This window comes from Homo sapiens, chromosome 8 (assembly GCF_000001405.40).
Source record: "Homo sapiens chromosome 8, GRCh38.p14 Primary Assembly".
NCBI classification, from domain to species: Eukaryota; Metazoa; Chordata; class Mammalia; order Primates; family Hominidae; genus Homo; species Homo sapiens.
The window spans coordinates 2,832,564-2,851,756 of NC_000008.11; the positions used below are offsets into that span (position 1 = coordinate 2,832,564).

General features: G+C 39.4%; 1 long non-coding RNA gene across 5 annotated transcripts in view; it reads left to right on the forward strand.

Annotated features, from left to right (window-relative positions):
- LOC105377785 (uncharacterized) overlaps positions 1 to 19,193 on the forward strand; it is a 297,276-nt gene that overhangs the window by 105,608 nt on the left and 172,475 nt on the right. For 2 of the 5 annotated variants that reach the window (NR_168444.1, NR_168441.1), the window contains exons 3-6: positions 1,786 to 2,014; positions 2,209 to 2,313; positions 4,221 to 4,355; positions 5,167 to 5,201. This is a non-coding gene — a long non-coding RNA (uncharacterized LOC105377785). Of the gene's footprint in view, positions 1 to 1,785; positions 2,015 to 2,203; positions 2,314 to 4,220; positions 4,356 to 5,166; positions 5,285 to 14,943; positions 15,108 to 19,193 lie in introns of all 5 variants that reach the window. The other 3 variants (NR_168442.1, NR_168443.1, NR_168445.1) reach the window with 3 other exon arrangements.

A 19,193-nucleotide genomic window follows, 5' to 3' on the forward strand; every position in this document is an offset into this window, starting at 1 on the left:
CCTGTTTCAACAGAGGCAGCAGCACTTCCTGATACAGAAGAACGCAGCGATAGATGCTGAGTTGGAAGTGTCAGATGCTAGTATAATCCTATTCAAATGTCAGCACATAAATCCATCTGGGTATTATCTATGAAATATAGTTAATTCCTCTATCCTTCTTAAAGGTAATTCCAGTAGCACTGAATTGTCAGTTTGATGCTTTTCGTCACTTCTCTTTGAATCACACAAAGCAATATTTTCAAGTAAATAGTGTTCATCAATTGCTAGGCGTGTCACCTCCAAATATGCTGCCTGAGATCCCTGCTTCAAATGTCTGGAACTTGTATTAGATCACAGGTGAGCATGACAGTCTCTTTCCTAGAGAAGAGTACATTGTAACTCTCCTGACTTCTAATTTTTGGGGTCCCCAGAGAGGCCAGTCTTACCTCACCTGGATATGGAAGAAAATAAGAGAAAACCAAAAGGAAAAGGCCTGAGAAGAAGTACATTTCTACAGAGAAATTAAAAGGAAACATCATTCTATGACCCAAATGAAACAACTTTCAGTTCCTCCATCTCTTATGTGAAATGTCTGTCCCCAGTATGGGGACACCACCAAAGCAAATCAATTCTGGGGATGCCTGACCACGAGGCGAAGTGATCAGCCGCATCCAGACTTAGCCATTCTCGACGGTATTTGAGGGAAATTCACAGAAAGGCTTCTTCACAGGTCCACAGGCCCTGAAGCCTTTTCCTAAACTTTAGATTCAACCAGCCAATTTAGATCCACAGCAAGACCAAGGCAGTTGCCTAGACTTGGAGATGCCGTCAACAGAAGCTGGCCCAGGAAGTCAGAGCCAGTGTTGACCCTGAAGGGGAAGAGGATATAATCATGCTTTGCTAAACACAGACAATCACTGAAATAGGAATCTAATTTATAACTGAATTATTATCTGAAGTCCATAGGAATTGGAAACATTTCCCTCATTTTGTAGATTACATGACCGAGACTCATGGAGTTCTGGATTAACAGGTAAACGTTTCCAAAGTCTCACCATTTCTTGCATAACATGCACCTGTCTCATCTGTAATGGGAATCACACCCAGAAGTCAGCAATCCCAGCACAGACCCTCAAGTGCCATGCCAAGACCTGCAGGCCTGTTTTGTTTGCTCAGAACTCCTGGAAGTAGCGCCTCATTAAGTTGGGAGTTCCAGAAGTTCTCTTTAGGGAAGTGGGTATTTAATTTCACCCTAAAGGATGAGAACAAATTTCACAGGACAAGTTCAGGAGATAATGGGAAAGGACAAAGTGAAAATATTTTGAACTGAATGGACCTTTTATGAGCCAATTCTCAAGTAAGAGAAACAAAGTCATATTAAAAGAATTCACAAAGTATAATGTCTGTGATGTGAATTGTGTGTCAAAAATGAAGTTTTCTGATCTCATCAGGACTGGGAAGCTTTAATCGATCTTGAGCAAGTAGGCCAGGATGGGACTATCTTTGCTTTTTAGTCCACTTTTAGGCAAGTCACTTCAACCTCTTTGGGGCTGATTTTCCTCCTTAGGAAGGTGGTAGTAAAGATGAAAATAGTAAGTAGTAAATAGCTAAACCAATATATTAATTAACCAGTATATTAATATACTGATATCAAATGTGATAATGTAGGAAGACTTTTGTAAGACGTTATCCAAATATTAATTGTTTTTCTTGATAGTCTTACTGGTTGCAGGACACTCTAGAAAAAAAATTTAGAAACAAATAAGAGAACTGAAAACCTTCATCTTTTTTACCTTGAGACCACAGGGAAGAAAAGACACCAGATGTTTCCGATCAAGAGACAAGAGAAACATTCAGCGTGACCCTAGAAAATCTTTCTAAAGAGATTTCACAACACTCAGCTCATGTTTCGGGTCCATGAAACCATCTTTAGATGAATGATGCCTTGTTACCTGTGAGAGGAAGTGAGCAGCGAGGAGTCCTGTCAGTTCCGGAAGGAGTATTTGGGTTACTGTTCTTCATTGTCTGCAGTTCTGTGAGTATTGATCTCATTATTCCATAAGGCGGATTTCAGCAGCAAGGAACATATCGTTTTTTTTTACATTACAATGAAATTCCATTTTTTACTTAAATATATTTTATGTCAATGCTTTTCTCTAGTGGGCTCCCTATATATTATTTTAGTATTAGTAACTTCAATATTTCTTCTTTTCTTTTCCTTGAGACAAGGTCTTGCTCAGTCGCCCAGGCTGAAGTGCAGTGGTGTGATCATAGCTCACTGCAGCCTCAACTTCCTGGAGTCAAGCAAGCCTCCCACATCAGCCTCCTGAGTAGGTGAGTAGGTGGGACTACAGGTGTGTGTCATTACATCTGGCTAATTTTTAATTTTTTGAAATAGAGACAGGGTTTTACTATGTTTACCAGGCTGGTCTCAAACTCCTGGCTCAAGTGTTCCTTCCACCTCAGCTTCCCTGTGTTAGTCTGGTTCCACACTGTTATAAAGAACTACCTGAAACTGGGGAATTTATGAAGAAAAGAGGTTAAAGTGACTCCCAGTTCTGCAGGCTGTACAGAAAGCATGGCTGCGAGGCCTCAGGAAGCTTACAACTATGGCGGAAGGCAAAGGGGCACAAGCACACCTTACCATAGCAAAGCAAAAGAGAGAGCAAGAGAGAAAAGGGGAGGTGCCAACACATGAAACCATAAGATCCATCTCATGAGGATTCACTCACTATCACGAGAACAGCACAGGGAAATCCACCCCCATAACCTACCACCTCCCACCAGGCCCCTGCCCTGACACTTGGGGATTACAATTCCACATGAGATCTGGGAGGGGACACAGAACCAAACCATATCCACTCCCAAAGTGCTGGGATTACAGGCGTGAGCCACTGCACCCAGCTGAGTTTTAGTAAATTCGATCCCATCTTTAAACAAACTTCATTTTCATGAAACATTATATCGTAAGTCAATCGATTATTTTACATTTATTTCTTTAACGATCCTATTTTGACTAAAAATCATCATCATATATAAAACATTATCTTAAAAGAAAATAAATCACTTTGTTTTCTTTGTGTTAAATATAGAGGAGTAGCTAACATTGCAAAGGTTATGACTGAAGAATCATATAAAAAGTGTTTGGTTGTCAAATGATCAAAAGTAAATGATAGCTGAAAGTGATTTGTTGGATTTTCACCTACTTTAATGTAGACATCTTCTCCAATTGATTTGAATGTAGGCTGTTTGTGGCTTAACGCTGGAAGGTAGTCAGCTAAGTGGGCATTTCAAGAAGGTAACGGGATATACAGGTAATGGGAAGGTGAGGAGAAGGGTACGGGCTAGGAATAAACACCTGGGCATCATCAGAAAATCATATGATAAGCCACATAATTGGAGACATTACCAAGAGAGTGGGAGTGGATACAGAAGGTAGGAAACACCACACACCCCCATGCAGTTATACGCAGTTACACATCGCTATAAAGTTCTTCATTTTCATTGCAACACAGTGTTCTACGGTATACAAGTATCTCAACTGATGTATCCATTTCATTGTTGACAGCCATTTTGACTGTTTTCAGCACGGTTCGCACACAATGCTGCTCTGAACGCCCTTGCACGTGGCATGGTGCACACCTACGAGCATTGGGGTGTGTTTACACTAGTGCCCGTCAGGGCCAGCCTCTTAAGGGCAGGTGTGCTGGAGGGAAGTGGAGGTCATAGAATGCGGGTAACTTAAACACTTAAAGATGCAGGACAGAATTCTATTTCTTCAATTATGAAACCAGGAAGTATAAAATGGTTATTTAAATTTGAGAAAATTGGCAGTAAAATAAACTCCCGGCTCTGTGTAGTGTGCAGGGGTCCCTCTCAGGGTGAGCACTGCATGCGTCACTGGAAAAACAGAAATACATTGGACTGCAGGGGATGGCCCAAACCTTAGATTTCTTAATACATGGCAGGTCCACTGTATTAGCCGCATAATTTCCAAAGGTTTCTAAATTATAAAACTCATTTTAGATAAAGGTGTGTGAAACTGCATGTCAAAGTGAGCATGAGTGTGTACACGTGTGTGTAAATATCACACTTTAATAATAATGTATGGGGGTTTTATTGCTCCATGTTCAACTCAGTCTTAAAATTCCAGGCTTTTAAAATTATTGACAAGTTATGAGATGGTTCCTGCTATAAGAGTGTGGACTTCAATTGTTCTTTCCCCCTTTTTTTTAATTAAGATTGGAGACCTGTTGTGTGTTACCTTTGGAAGGTTTTCCACAGTTGAGATCCAGTTGCTCCAGCATCATTTGTTGAGTGGTCTCTCTTCATCCACAGAGCTCCAGAGTGTCTCCTCTTACAGGACTTCTACACGTGTACGTCTCTTTTGGGGCTCTTTGTTTTGTTCTACCGGTTGATGTCATTCCTGGCACTACCAGCTTTCTGCCTAAATTGCCATAGCTTTAGTAGAAACTTGAATTCTTGCGTAGCAAGCTCTCTTTCCTGTTCATCTTCAAGAATATCTAAGATATCTTTCAATCGTTCCATCTCCACATTAATTTCAGAATCAGCTTGTTAGTTTCAGTACATTTTTGCTTTTGATTAAAATTGCATCTTACCCCAAAAATGAATTGGAGAATAATTGACATTTTTTTTTTAAAGTTGAGACACGGTCTTGCTCTGTTGCCAGTGCTGGAGTGCAGTGGCATGACCATAGCTCACTGCCGTCTCAGACTCCTGGGTTCTAGTTTTCGTCCTACTTTGGCCTCCCAAAGTGCTGAGATTACACGCATGAGCCACCATGCCCAGCCTAAATGACATATTTTAATATTAAATCTTCCAAACCATGAGCCTGTTATGTCTACAGTTTTAAATATCTCCTTTAATAATCCAATAAAATTGTATAAGTTCCAACATATGGTTCTGGTACCATACAACATATGGTAATCTGTTGTAATTATTTCCAGTTATTTCACACCTTTGATGTTATTATGAATTATATTTTGTTGAATTTTTTGTTGCTGGTATACAGAAAAGTTTTTAAAATTTTTTGATATATATGTTTTATATGTATATCTCTCTTAGATTTTTATGTATTTAATTATGTCATTTGAGAATGACTATTTTACTCTTCTTTTCTAAGCTACATATTTTAGAGGTTGTTTTTGTTCCTCTTTCCTTTTTCAGTGGGCACAAATTTCAGCATGGCGTTAAGAAGAACTGTGAGTGGGCATTCTTGCCTTATTTCTACTTTCAGAGGAAGATATTTTGTTGTTCCCTGTTGATATTTGCATTCAGATGTTTTGTGAGTCCTTCTTAGTATATGAAGGGTATTATATTCCATTCATTATTTCATTCAGTTCAAAAAATTTTCTACATTTGACCATATATTTGTGATAAAAAGAATGTTTAGCAGTGTATTTCAAAAACATATTTCAAAACATATGGGAATTTTCCAAATTTTTCTGGCTATTCATTTTCTAACTTAATTGCTGATAATTAAGAAAGTAAATTATTATCTTGTCTGAGTTAAGCATTGTATGAATGCCAGTAAAAAGAGAAGTAGAGAAAATCATGCAAGATAAATTGGGTATATAGGTTCCTAAAATGTGATACCTGAGCTAGAGTGGAAGAAGCTGCAGCTTTAGAACCAGTTTAGATTCTTGGTTTGTTTTCATCTTTCCTTGACTCTGGGCCACTTCTGTATCACCAACGTTTACAATGATTGAATGTCACTCTAGGTTCATTTACTTCTTATTCTAAAGCCAAATATTTAGGTCCATTAGAGGCCAACATTATTATTAAGAGCTCTTTAGCACCCAATGACATTTTTCTTTCAAAAAGTCAATATTTTATAGAATCTAAATTAAGTGGGAAAAGAGATTTAAGATTCGCTATGAATACATTCTAATTATTTTTACAACATTTTATAACAAGATTAAACTTTTGGTGAGTTCTGCTAAACTATGATAACTACAAATCTGGAAACCTTTTTCTCCCCCCCAAAATAATTTTATCTTTTAGGTTCTTTCTTCTTTTTTGTTCCTCTGTTTTTGCTGATACATTGAGAGTAGATTTTAGCAATTTTAAAGTAAGAGGGCTATTCTCGTCAGTACAAGTTCTCCCAGGAAAAATTTTTTAAAAATCAGACATACTTACCAATCTGCGAATAAACTTAATAGTGATATAAAGGTAAAGTCATGGGAGGATTAAAATCTGGATTAAAATCAAGATACGGAATTCTATGAAAATAAATATGATTTCTGATATCTTTTTAAAGGTGCTGAACAGCTGAGTACACTCTATTTTCAAAGAATAATGTTTTCCCTGGGTCCCCGGTCAGCTATGATTTCCCAGGATGATATAATGTTTCTTGCACTGGAAAAATACATATTATTTTTAGGTTAAAAGTTATAAAAAGTGTTTTATTCCCTGTGGCTATCCCTCCTCCTCAAGCTACTAGGAAAATGGTGAAAACAGAAAAATCAAAACAAGAATACCAACGGATACGTTTTCTAAAACTTAACATGCATGTCTTTGAGAATTCAATTTTGTTAGCCACATTTCAGATATATAACCTTTTTCCTTTAATAATCTATGATTTAAATGCTCAAATGTTTTTAAGCATGTGGTGCTGGCTCCAAATAACCCTCCATCTTGAGAGATGCGACCCTCCCCAGGTTTCTCCCTTCATCACTACCAGCATCCGTTCTCTCTCTGGACAAGCTCTCCCTGAGCAGAAGGCTTAATTGTGAAATGGAATGCCCTGGATAATGAGAGAAAAAAGGGGAAAAGAAGTCCTTTAGATATCAGAGAGAGAGAATGATGATATAAGGGATGTGGCATATTGATTTAAATATTAGCATATTGATTTAAATTACCTTGAAGATATGTACAAGCTGTAATTAAGAATTAAACATTAGTAGGTGTCATTTTGATCATAATTAAGGGGCCTCAGGTAGCACTGGCAGCTTGACTTCCACTTGGAATTTCTTCTTCTAAGTATTAGGCACGTGCTTCTCTCCGTCACGGTACCACCCATCCAGCTTGCACTCCTCCTAGGATCGCTGGAGATTCGCCTCATGTTGCAGACCTAACCTGCACTCTGGGTTGTCTTGTTAATTTCTGAAGTACCCCTCCACATACATCTATCTGTGTGACCGCATGCCTGGTCTGATCTTTATACGGTCAGTAGGTGTTGAGTTTTACCACTCTAGGTTGTCTTGTTAATTTCTGAAATACCCCTCCACATAGACGTATCTGTGTGACCACGTCCCTGGTCTGATCTTTATATAGTCAGTAGGTGTTGAGTGTTACTGATTTTTGGTCCCCGAGCTGGGTACATTCAGGAACACACATATGCCCAGGTTTATGGGCCGTTATTCACAAGGCTCTCTTAGGTTTTCTAATGTGAACATTGTGTAGTCTTGGCAAGACTCAATAAAAACTCTCTAAAAGAAAATGGCTAGAAACAAACATGGTATAAATTGCAATATCAGAAGCCCTGTGCTGAAATAAAGCAAGAGTTCATGTAGCCTGTGTTCAGCTTCTGACCACAGCATCCAGAGAGAGCCTGCAGTGGGAATCATGCTTCTACTGAGTTTTCAAATTATGATCATGGAACACACATTCTCCTGGATGCCAAAGTGACTCATGTTTCATGGATCAGCCTAAAGGTCAGTTCCTCTACTAAACTACTTTGAATCCATAGTCCTACAGTTTAAAAATCTGGAAGGCAATTCCGAGGTCACCCAGAGTGATAAGGTCATTGCAATATTTAAATCATGAGTTGAAAGCACTTTGCACAATGTAACATGCTATAAAAAAACAAATATTTGTAGGAATTATTAAGAACCTTCATCAGCATTCCTGTGGAGTCATCGCTAGGAGACTTGTGGTCTCTGAAAAGAGGACTGTTTTTATACACAATCAATGTTTCTGTGTTTTGATAGACAGAATCAATAGCTACCAACTGTTCAGCTGGGCTCAAACCACCAAACAGCTGGCTCTATATTCATATCCTCGTGGTTCAAAATACTTTTAACCCTATGATGTATAAATTCCTACTCTGCACAGTTTTTACACACCGACCAATATATACACATCACAGAGGACACATTTAGTGCTGCACTTCCTGCTGTGACTGTTAAAAAAGACAAGGGGCTCCCTGCTTGGCAGCTGTGATGGCCTAGGAGTCAATTTCTCAGCAGCACCATTCTGGAACATAAAATCTTACATTTAATTATATCTACTGCACAGTTTTCAGAGTGTAGCTTAATAAACAGTCATCTGCAAAGATCTAGAACCAGAAATACCATTTGACCCAGCAATCCCATTACTGCATATATACCCAAAGGAATATACATCATTTTATTACAAAGATACATGCATGCATGTGTTCACTGCATTACTATTCCCAATAGCAAAGACATGGAATCAACACAAGTGCCCATCAATGATAGACTGGATAAAGAAAGTATGGTACATATACACTATGAAATACTATGCAGCCATAAAAAGGAACATAGTCATGTTCTTTGCAGGAACATGGATGGAGCTGGAAGCCATTATCCTCAGCAAACTAATGCAGGCACAGAAAACCAAACACCACATGTTCTCACTTATAAGTGGGAGCCGGACAATGAGAACACATGGACACGGTGAGGGGAACATCACACACTGGGGCCTGGGGAGCATTGGAAAACATAGCTGATGTATGCTGGACTTAATACCTAGGTGATGGCTTGATAGGTGCAGCAAACCACCATGGCACACATTCACTTATGTGACAAACATGCACATCCCGCACATGTACCCCAGAACTTAAAATAAAAATAAAAATTTTAAAGGAATTAAGAAAGGAAAAAAGCAGTCATCCTTTTTGTACAGCTGAAATTCATCCTCAAAAGTACTTGGAATACAGCACTCATATTCTTAGTGCTTCCAAAAATCTCCCAAGATTATCCCATTGTTTTGGAAAATAATACATTGTGTGTATATAATGAATCTATACAAAGGGCATCTAAGGGTGATATGAAAAGACTCATCTTGTGTGATATGCATATGCTGAGAATTGTGGGTCTATGCAGATCGCCCTGGTCAATTTTACCTTAGAGTTTTGGGGAGGTTAATTTTGCCTAGAAATACAAGATGGCTTCCCTTTTTTTTTTTTATTTTTTATTTTCAGATCACTTTATTTAGGGATGCGGCAATGGCAGTAGTTCTCAAAAGGAAGCCGGGTAGAAGCAAATTAATTTCTAAGGTATTCTAGACTCAGATGTATTGCAGATGCTAACCCACTCTCGCCAGTTGGCATCGATGTCCTAGTCAGACGGGGACCAGGGAGTCTTTGTCGGTGTCTGTGGGTTCCTGCTTCTCAGCACCAGCATCAGGGGGAGACGAAGTGCTGATTAGGAGAACACACATTGGCAGGCGCACGTGACAACCCTGGTCGGTGCTCTATCCGTCTGGGTTTGTCCAACAATTTAGTTCCATAAAGAAGAGAACACAAAAGTCCTGCCTGCTAGGGAGGAAATCATCACTGAACTAAGCAAGGGGTAAGATTCTGACTCCGGTCTGATAATTGCTGGAACAGGTTGAGGACAACGAACATGACGTAGGATGTATGAGGTGAGAAAGGGCACAGTGAGCCCCAGGTCCAGGACACTGGTAGGTGTGTGGGACCTGAGATGCACGTTGACCTCATGTTGTTCTGGTCAAGCAACATTTAAAGATGAATGAGAATCTATGCAAGAATATAAAGAGTCCCCAGGATGGAAACACCGAAAGAAGACAGGTTCTGGAAAAAAAGTGGAAAGTAGAGAAGAGGGGTGAGGTATCCATACGCGCCCTGTAGCATGTCTGTGTGATAGAGAGATGCAGAGAACCAAGGAATCAATGGTGATTAAGACCCTGATTGCAACAGGTGCATATGCAACTAGGTAGAAGAATTTTTAAATTATCTAAATAATTTAACTCCTCCCCCAAAAATACTTCACTAAGCATTTTTAAAACGCACATGGACCCTACCTTTCAGAAGTCGCTTATCCTAACCAAAATTTTTCAGGAGGGTTTCCTAGTTAATGGATGTGCTGCTTGCCACTGAAACCTCCTAAACCATGTAACTCATTATGTTTGCAGAATTATGTGAGGCAGATGCCCAGTAAGACCAAGAATGCAGAGAAATCTAATAGAAACGCGGGAAGCAATCATAAAAGTCTTTAAAGGCAGACTTGAGTACTGTCAGCCTTATGCTACTTTCTTTGTGTAAGATTGAGTTATCTTAAACTGTGTCCATGGGAAATAAAGGAGAACAGAAGCCTGCTTTTTAAAGGCTTTGTGTTACGAAACTGCATTTAGAGTTTATTAGAAACAGGAATAACTTAGGTAGCAATGTCAATCAGACGTTAAAAATATATATGTGGGGCCGGAGCTGGTGGCTCGTGCCTGTAATCCCAGCACTTTGGGAGGCCGAGGCGGGCAGATCAGTTGAGGTCAGGAGTTTGAGACCAGGCTGGCCAACATGGTGAAACCCTGTCTCTACTACAAATATGAAAAATTACCGGGCATGGTTGCATGCACCTGTAACTCCATCTACTCGGGAGGCTGAGGCAGGAGAATTGCTTGAACCCAGGAGATGGAGGTTGCAGTGAGCTGAGATCATGCCACTGCAGTCCACTCTGGAAACAGAGCAAGACTCCTTCTCAAAATACATACACACACACACACACACACACACACACACACACACACAGAATATAGAAAATGTATATACACATATAATACAAGATATAGATTAGGTAGTTTAAAAGAAAAATTGCACTGTACAAGATGAGCAAACAAATTTTATTTTATATATTTATTTTATTCCTACACTTTTACCAGCAATAGGGAAGCGCTCACAGACAGATATGGTCTGGAAATCCAGCTTCCTTGAAACAAAAGAATGGAGAGTTTCAAGAGCTGAGTGGGGGAATCACAGGTCACCTGCATTTGCTAATTGCTTTCCCCAAAGTAAAGGTAGATTTTCTCCTGTGTTTATGACAGAAAGGTAGTTTTACAACTTGGACTCCAGCAGAGACTGGAAAGGGGCCCCTACCTTGATGATTGCATTCCAGAAGGATGGTGCCCATAGCCTTGGAAAAGTCGCTCCGAGCTGTAAAACTGGCCAGAGACTGGACAAAGATTTACATCTCAAAGGACAGAGAAAGAATTCATCATGAGCAGTGTTCTAAAGTAAATGCTCTCCATAAAGGGAGGTCAGAAAGAAATCATCTAACATTGAGACTGGCTGAGGGACAGGTGGACACCATCTTGGTCGGTAGCTATCAACAGAGAAGGACCAGCTGAGGCTGGGGAATAGATACTGGTGATGATGATGATGATCATGATTATGATAATGGCACACAACTTTATAAAGTCTTAAAATTGAAAAAAATAACACTCCAGTAAGTATTTTCCCACTTAAATGTTCCACAATAAACATGTGCCATAGTAATAGCAAATGCGCAGCCCAGAAGCAGACTGGTGGGAGCTGGACCATCCCGTGTCCTCTGGATTCCGGTTCCGGGCTCTATTGAGGTCATTTTGCCTGCTAAGGTTGAAAAGATGCAGTGTGGAAATATGTGAGGGTATCCAAGACCGAATCATGAAAAATATGCACACCTTCAGCGCCCTAAATATACACGATTACCCTCAGTGCCCAGCACGTCCAAAATCCAACGCGTCATTTCACCTTCTTGTCACTGACTAGTATTTCTGTCAGTGGTGCTAGGATTCTTTCAAATTAATCATCACGCACCTTCAAAACAACTTATCTGTCTCCTAAAGGATCACCTCTCCTCTCTAATTCTTTCTATATCCAGCTGCCAAATGTATCTTTCTAAGTGGTTCCTATGTTGCCACTACTCCGCATCAAAAATTGAGTTACCAGCTGAAATAATGTGATCATCTTGGTCTTTTCATGGCCAAATTAAGCCATTTACATGTATTTTTGATAAGTGATCTGCTTGGTTTCATAATATCTATTTCAGCTTTGTTTTCTATATGTTGCAGTTTTATGCCATTTTCTTATTTTGACTCTTCACCTTCTTGTTTCTTCATTACATTTTGAAATTGTTACAACGCTTTAAAATTCTACTGATTATATTTCCATAAGGCATTGAAGACACATAAACTTCTGGGATGTTTCAAAGGTACTGCAGAAGATTTAATCAGTTTTTGGCTATTGCTAGAATGTCCTCTAACCCTAAGTTTCTTCACTTTCTGATAAATGCTTGATATGGTTTTGCTGTGTCTCCACCCAAATCTCATCGTGAATTGTAGCTCCCACAATTCCTATGTGTCATGGGAGGGACCTGGTTGGAGATAATTGAATCACGGGGGCATTTTCCCCCCATACTCTTCTCCTGGTAGTGAATAAGTCTCACGAGATCTGAGAGTTTTATAAGGGGAAACCCTTTTCGCTTGGTTCTTATTTTCTCTGCTGCCATATAAGATGTATCTTGTGCCGTTCCCCTTCCACCATGATGGTGAGGTCTCCCCAGCCACGTGGAACTGTGAGTCAGTGAAACCTCTTTTCCTTTATCAGTTACCCAGTCTCGGGTATGTCTTTATCAGCAGCATGAAAATGGTCTAATACAATGCCTATTTTATAGTCGATGCATGGGCACACTGTTAGAGAACCCCAAATTGCAATATTCTTTCTTACCATTTTGTTATTGTTGTTATTGTTTTTATTTTCTCTTACAGATATCTAATTTGATTTAACTGACATTTAGGATACTTCAAACCTTTTCTCAGGTTGGGTACAGGGATGCGGATAGTGCCTGGGAAGTGGTACGTCGACAAAAGTCTTTCTCTTACCATGTAGCCTGAGTTCTCTAGGTTTTGAAGACATTTCATTTGCCTGAGTAGCTTAAAGACACTGATGACTGTGCCAAGCCTCCAGGACTGTGGAGGAGAGGTGGTATCAGTGTGACTCTCTTTTGTATTCTGTCTACTTGTACAATCTGGCAGCGCATGTGATTCTGACTCCATCTTCAGGATTTTTGGGTATATCAATATATCCAGACTATTTGTAAAATTTATTTCCTCTGCAATTCACTGTCACTTTTTAATTCAAAAACACATTTTTCTTTATCCACAAAAAATAATTTTTTACTGCTTGTTAATTCTTGCATCTCCATCCAGTTTTACTCCTTTAGGGCATTATAAGAATTATTTTTCTTGGATCTGCCTTCCAATTCACATATATTTTGTCTTAATATTTCTATCTAATTGTGTCTCTGATTTTTATACTGATAGGTACTTTTCCCATTTTTTATTCATGATATTAATTGGTTTTGTGGCACAAGTTTTTAAAGTTTTATTTTCTTCAACTCCTATTTTGATTCTTTTTTTCCCAACATCCTACTTCTCTTTGCTTGTTTATTTCTTTGGTCTTTTTGACATTTATCTTGGTCTCTAGAAGTCTCCCGCGAACACACAGAGGCCCAAGACTGCTTACACACTTCTATTTAAAAGAGAGGCCTAGGAAGGTAATTAAAGCTTGCGTGAATAACCGAGTCTTAACAGCCAGTGTGTGTCATTTAAGGGTAATCAGGTGACAACCGCCATCTGGCCGTTTCATCGTGGGGTGGGGGGGGGCCCAAGCATCAGCATAAGTATATATGTTCTCAGTGATGGTTAAGTTTCAGCAAAAAAATCTCATCAACCTTCTGCTAGGGTGAAAGGTATATGACTGGTTGACAATGTTCCGAGGCCCCATTGGAAGGCGGAAACAAAGGATTTTGTAGTTCAGGATATTAACTTTCAGCCCATCAACCTGTTTTGAGTACCGTATTGCATGCCTGCACCCAACGCCCAGAGTCTGGGGTGTTCTGTTTTAATTTCTCTTGACACCCCGGCTCCCTTAGGGGAGAAGGGGATGTTGAGGGAGACTCACTGACCTGCTTCACATTCCTTCAGTCAACTTTTGTGTTCTTACCTTCACTCCTTATTTCCACCATGAGAGTTTCACTATGCTTTGAATTACTGGGATTTCCACAATTAAGCAATGCAAATTATTGAATTATTTTGTTTATCTTATTTCTCATTTGTAATAACTTGTTATGTGAATTTTCTTTGTCATCAGTTATCACAAATACACCAACTTTATTGTTAAATATTTTTTCATCATCATTCATATTCTGGGGTCTCTTCTGTTTTCTTTAGGGTCTACTGTTCTTGGATGAATTATACATACGAGGCTTCAATGGATCTCATACGTTACCCATAGTTTTCCCATTTCCTTCATGGAATTTCTAAGTGTACTAGTTAAATTTGTTTTTCTCTTCAGTTCTTAAAGCCATTTGGGCACTGCAGTTGTATCTTACTGAGTTTGCCTTTGTTGTGTAAAATATCTTTTTTTTTTTTTCTCCCTCTTCAGTGTAAGCCACCTCTTCCAGATGTCTTTCCTTCCTCTGTAGATAGTCGGTTCTCCTTTGAGGATGGAAACCACCCACGCAGCTTGCCATTTTTATTAACATGATTTTATAATTCCCTGTTTTCAAGAACATAACTTTACTTGTGTTTCGCTTAGGATCCTAGGAGATGCTTGCACCAGAAGATAAAGTTGCAACTAACTTTATTGCTTACTCCAAAGACTCATCCGTTCTTCAATAGGAAAATCAAAAGCCAGTTTAAAACAGTCTAAGACTTTCTGAACAATTCGGCCTCAAAATTCTTGGCATTGTCTGGCCACAAATTCTAAACAATTATATCATAATCTTTCCCCAAATTAACCAATATCCTGAATTGAAAGATGCACCATAAGTCAGATTTTTCAGTCTCAATAAATATCCTGAATTGTGTTTTACCTAATGGTTCAGCACGGATTCCCTGTGGGAGTACTGCTGGCCCTGGGTGCATAAGCAGTGAACCTGGCTTTGTCTTTTCAGCGGGCTTTTTGGTGATACTTTGCAGAACCAGCGTTGAATATCCTCATGGAATAGTCCCTTCTCTGCCGACTGATAGTGTTTCGCTTTGTCAGCACCCTTGCTGGGGACCAAATTGTGTCCTGCCGCAAGTCATACGGTGAAGCCTGAAGCCCCAGGGTGACTGTATTTGGAGACAAGGCCTTTAGGCAGGTAATTAAGGTTAAATGATGCCATAGGGTGTTGTCCAACAGACTTGGTGACTCCACAAAGGAAATACACCAAAGGAAGGCCAGATGAGGACACAGGGAGAAGTTGGCCATTTGCAACCTAGAAGAAGGCAGAACCTGACCGTGTGGGCGCCCTAATCTCAGACTTGCAGCTTCCAGAACTGCGAGATAATACATCTGTGCTGTTTAAGTCACGGGGTCTGTGGTAGGGTGTTATGGCAGCCACGGCTGTAAGACCACCCATATGGTGGGTGCGGTCGGTGCCCCTGGGGCAGTAGCCAACAGGTGGTTAAGAGTGATGCTGCTTTTTTGCCCTCTTTTGGGAAGAAGGAAATGATTTGAGGGAATGTTACCCTCTGCTAGTGAATTGGGTTGAGGCACCACTACTTCCTGATCAATTGGCTTCAAGCAGCATTTCTCCCTATTTTTGTTGTTGTTGTTGAAACAGAGTCTCACTGTATCACCCAGTCTGGAATGCAATGGCATTGCAACCTCAGCCTCCCAGGTTCATTGCAACCTCAACAACCTCAGCCTCCCAGGTTCAAGTGATTCTCCTGCCTCAGCATCCCTAGTAGCTGGAATTACAGGCACACGCCATGACACCCAGCTTTATTTTGTATTTTTAGTAGAGACGGGGTTTCACCTTGTTGACCAGGCTGGTCTCAAACTCCTGACCTCAAGTGATCTGCTGGTCTTGGCTTCCCAAAGTGCTGGGATTACAGGCGTGACCCACCACACCCAGCCCATTTATCCCTATTTTTTTTAATTTCAAGAGCAATATGTTGAGATATTGTCATCGCCTTTCCTGCTGACCAAAGTCCTGGTTGGCACAGCAGATGCAGGCTCCACCCAGTGCTTGGTATTAAATCATCTTAAGCCTTAAAAAGAGACAGGTTTTCTCCCCTGACATTAGCCCTTCAGTTTTTGCCTGGCAAGGAAAAAATGAAGAAGTGCTGATGACTTTTTTCTCTAGAATTCCTGAAAAAGTATGTAGTATTACCCCAACTTTTCTGCATATTCTCTACACTTCTCTTCTTGAATTTATGATTTCTCATTTTCTTTCTTTCTTTCTTTCTTATCTCTTTCTTTCTTTTTCTTTCTTTCCTTTTTTTTTTTTTTTTTACGGAGTCTTACTCTATCATCAAGGCTAGAGTGCAGTGGCATGATCTTGGCTCACTGCAACCTCCACTTCCCAGGTTCAAGCGATTCTCCTGCCTCAGCCTCCTGAGTAGCTGGGATTACAGGCACCTGCCACCACGCCTGGCTACTTTTTGTATTTTTAGTAGAGACAGGGTTTCACCATCTTGGCCAGGCTGGTCTCAAACTCCTGACTTCGTGATCCACCCGCCTCGGCCTCCCAAAGTGCTGGGATTACAGGCATGAGCCACCACACCTGGCTATGATTTCTCATTTTCTTTCCTGAGAAATGCATCCATCCCAGACTTTGATTTTTCAAAATTTTGTGTATTTTTTCATTGCCCACCAAGTGAAAGTCAGCATAGATTATTGATTAACTGTAAAAAATAAAATAATATATGTACTAGAAATAACTTTATGAGAAAAAGTATGTAATTTTGTTATGGAGATGTCTATACCAGTCATATTTACTTTTCTCTGCCTCCTACTACTGTTGGTTGTTTAATTTCCATACACTTAATTTTTAAACACTGGTGTAGATCATGCTGATATGGTTTGCTCTGTGTCCCCACCCAAATCTCATCTTGTAACTCCCAGAATTCCCACATGTTGTGGGAGGTATCCTGTGGGAGGTGATTGAATCCTGGGGTTGGGTCTTTTCAGTGCTATTCTCGAGATAGTGAATAAGTCTCACGAGATCTGATGGTTTTAAAAATGGGAGTTTCTCTGCACAAGCTCTGTCCTTGCCTGCCACCATCCACATAAGATGTGACTTGCTCCTCCTTGCCTTCTGCCATGATTGTGAGGCCTCCCCAGCCACGTAGACTGTGAGATCTCCATTCAGCCTTTTTCCTTTGTAAATTGCCCAGTCTCGGGTATGTCTTTATCAGCAACGTGAAAACGGACTAATACACATGCCATCCATTTTTCCTTCTCTGGCATAGTTTTTTTTTTTTCAGTTATTTCATCTGTATATATTTCAGTATTCATCTCTAAATATAGTGATTTTAAAAAACATCATTTTGCAATATGAAAAAGATAATTTCTTTGTATCATCAAGTACCCAACTGTGTTCATATTAATTGTTCATATTATGAACACATATTAACTGTGTTCATATTAATTCTTTCATGAAAAGACGTTCTAAAATGTAAAGTTCAATCTCTCGAAACTTTCCTTTTTGATTGGTGCTTTCTTTGTCTGATTATTGAAATCTTTCTATACCGTAAGGGCATGAAGATATTCTTCTCTATTTTGTACTAGAACTATTATTATTTGACCTTTACATTTAGGTATATAATGTGCTAGTAACTGATGCTTATGTATTATGTGTAATTGGGGTCAATATTCATTTTTTCTACTTAATATCCAATTCACTCAGCATCATTTATTGAATATATCAACCTTTCCCTACTGAACTTCTGTGTACTCTTTATCCTAAATCACATAATTTTTTTCCCCATATACTTGTGGGTCTATCTCTAAAAACAGAATTTTGTTATGTCTGGGAAACAGTCAATGTCCCCATGGGGCAGCCTTTCTTATGGAACTGACATTTTTATCAGAGGCAGATAGTCTTTCTTTTATAAGCAGAAAATATTTTATTGTCCTCAAAATTGCTAAGAATGAATTAATCCTCATTTGCTATTAATTTCAATGTACTGTTCCCACACCCAGTAATAATAAATGTATAATTATGTTTCCCTTGACCATTGATTTCAGTTGTGTTTTCTCACACCTGAATTATTTTATTAGTTATCTACTTCTGAGAAACAAGTTACACTAAAATATCTCAATCTAAATATTTTAAAGTACTAGCTATATTGTTTGCTCGCTTTGCTTATGGCCAGTAATTTGGGTTTGAGATTAGTTTGGCTATTCTGCTGCAGTCCTTGGAAAACAGCTCACTGGATGGCAGTAACCTCAATTCTCCACCCAGACTGGGTGGTGTAAGGTGTCCACACTCGTGCCTGTGCTGCTTGGGACTGGCGCCCAGCTAGGGTTCTCTCCACATCATCTCTTATCCTCCAGGAGGATTACCTGGGCTTATTCAATGCGAACTCCCAGTGGAAACCCCATTTCCGGCAAAAAAGCACAATAGAAGCCATTAGCCATGAGACTGTAAAATAAGAAAAAGAAAAATAATCGACAGAAGAATAAAGGTGTTCCAGGGCAAGAAACTAAAACATATTTCTAAAACTGAGCTGCAGATAGAATTCCTGGTTTCCTGGTAGTTAAAGAAAGAGACAAAGTGTAAGGAGTTACACAGTTATTGTCATTAGCTAAAAGAAATTTCATATTTGTGGCCTAATAGGCATGGAAATAAAATGCTAGAAGGAGCAGGGCATGATGGTGCACACCTGTAGTCCCAGCTACTCAGGAGGCTGAGGCGGGAGAGTGGCTTGAGCCCAGGAGTTTGAGGCCATAGTGAGCTATGATTGCACCACTGCACTCCAGCCTGGGCAACACAGTAAAACTCTGGGAAATGAAGAGACAAAAAAAAAAAAAAAAATGGCATGGAAGAAATGTCAGATGGAATAACCACAAAGTAATGAATATTCCCCAAATAATGAATGTCATGAAACCAAAAAGTTAACTTACTTCCCAAATGGTACATTGTGTGGAAGCTATTCACTGCACACTAAAACAATAGTAAAAGCAATATACCTCTGAATTGTTACATAAAACATACAGTTCTAAATGGGTGTGTTTATTTTTATACACAAACATGAATATAATGTATGTAGAAAATGTGTGGTATATAGAAGATTAAGATATGTTAGGACTCTAGCTCCTTCAGGAACTCACTTCTATATAGTGCCTTTTAAATTATTGTCACACCTCCTTTAACTATAGATATAGTAATAGCAATCTTCAGTGATCCACAATGGGTTATATAAATCTCCCACTTCAAAACCTTAATACAGAATTA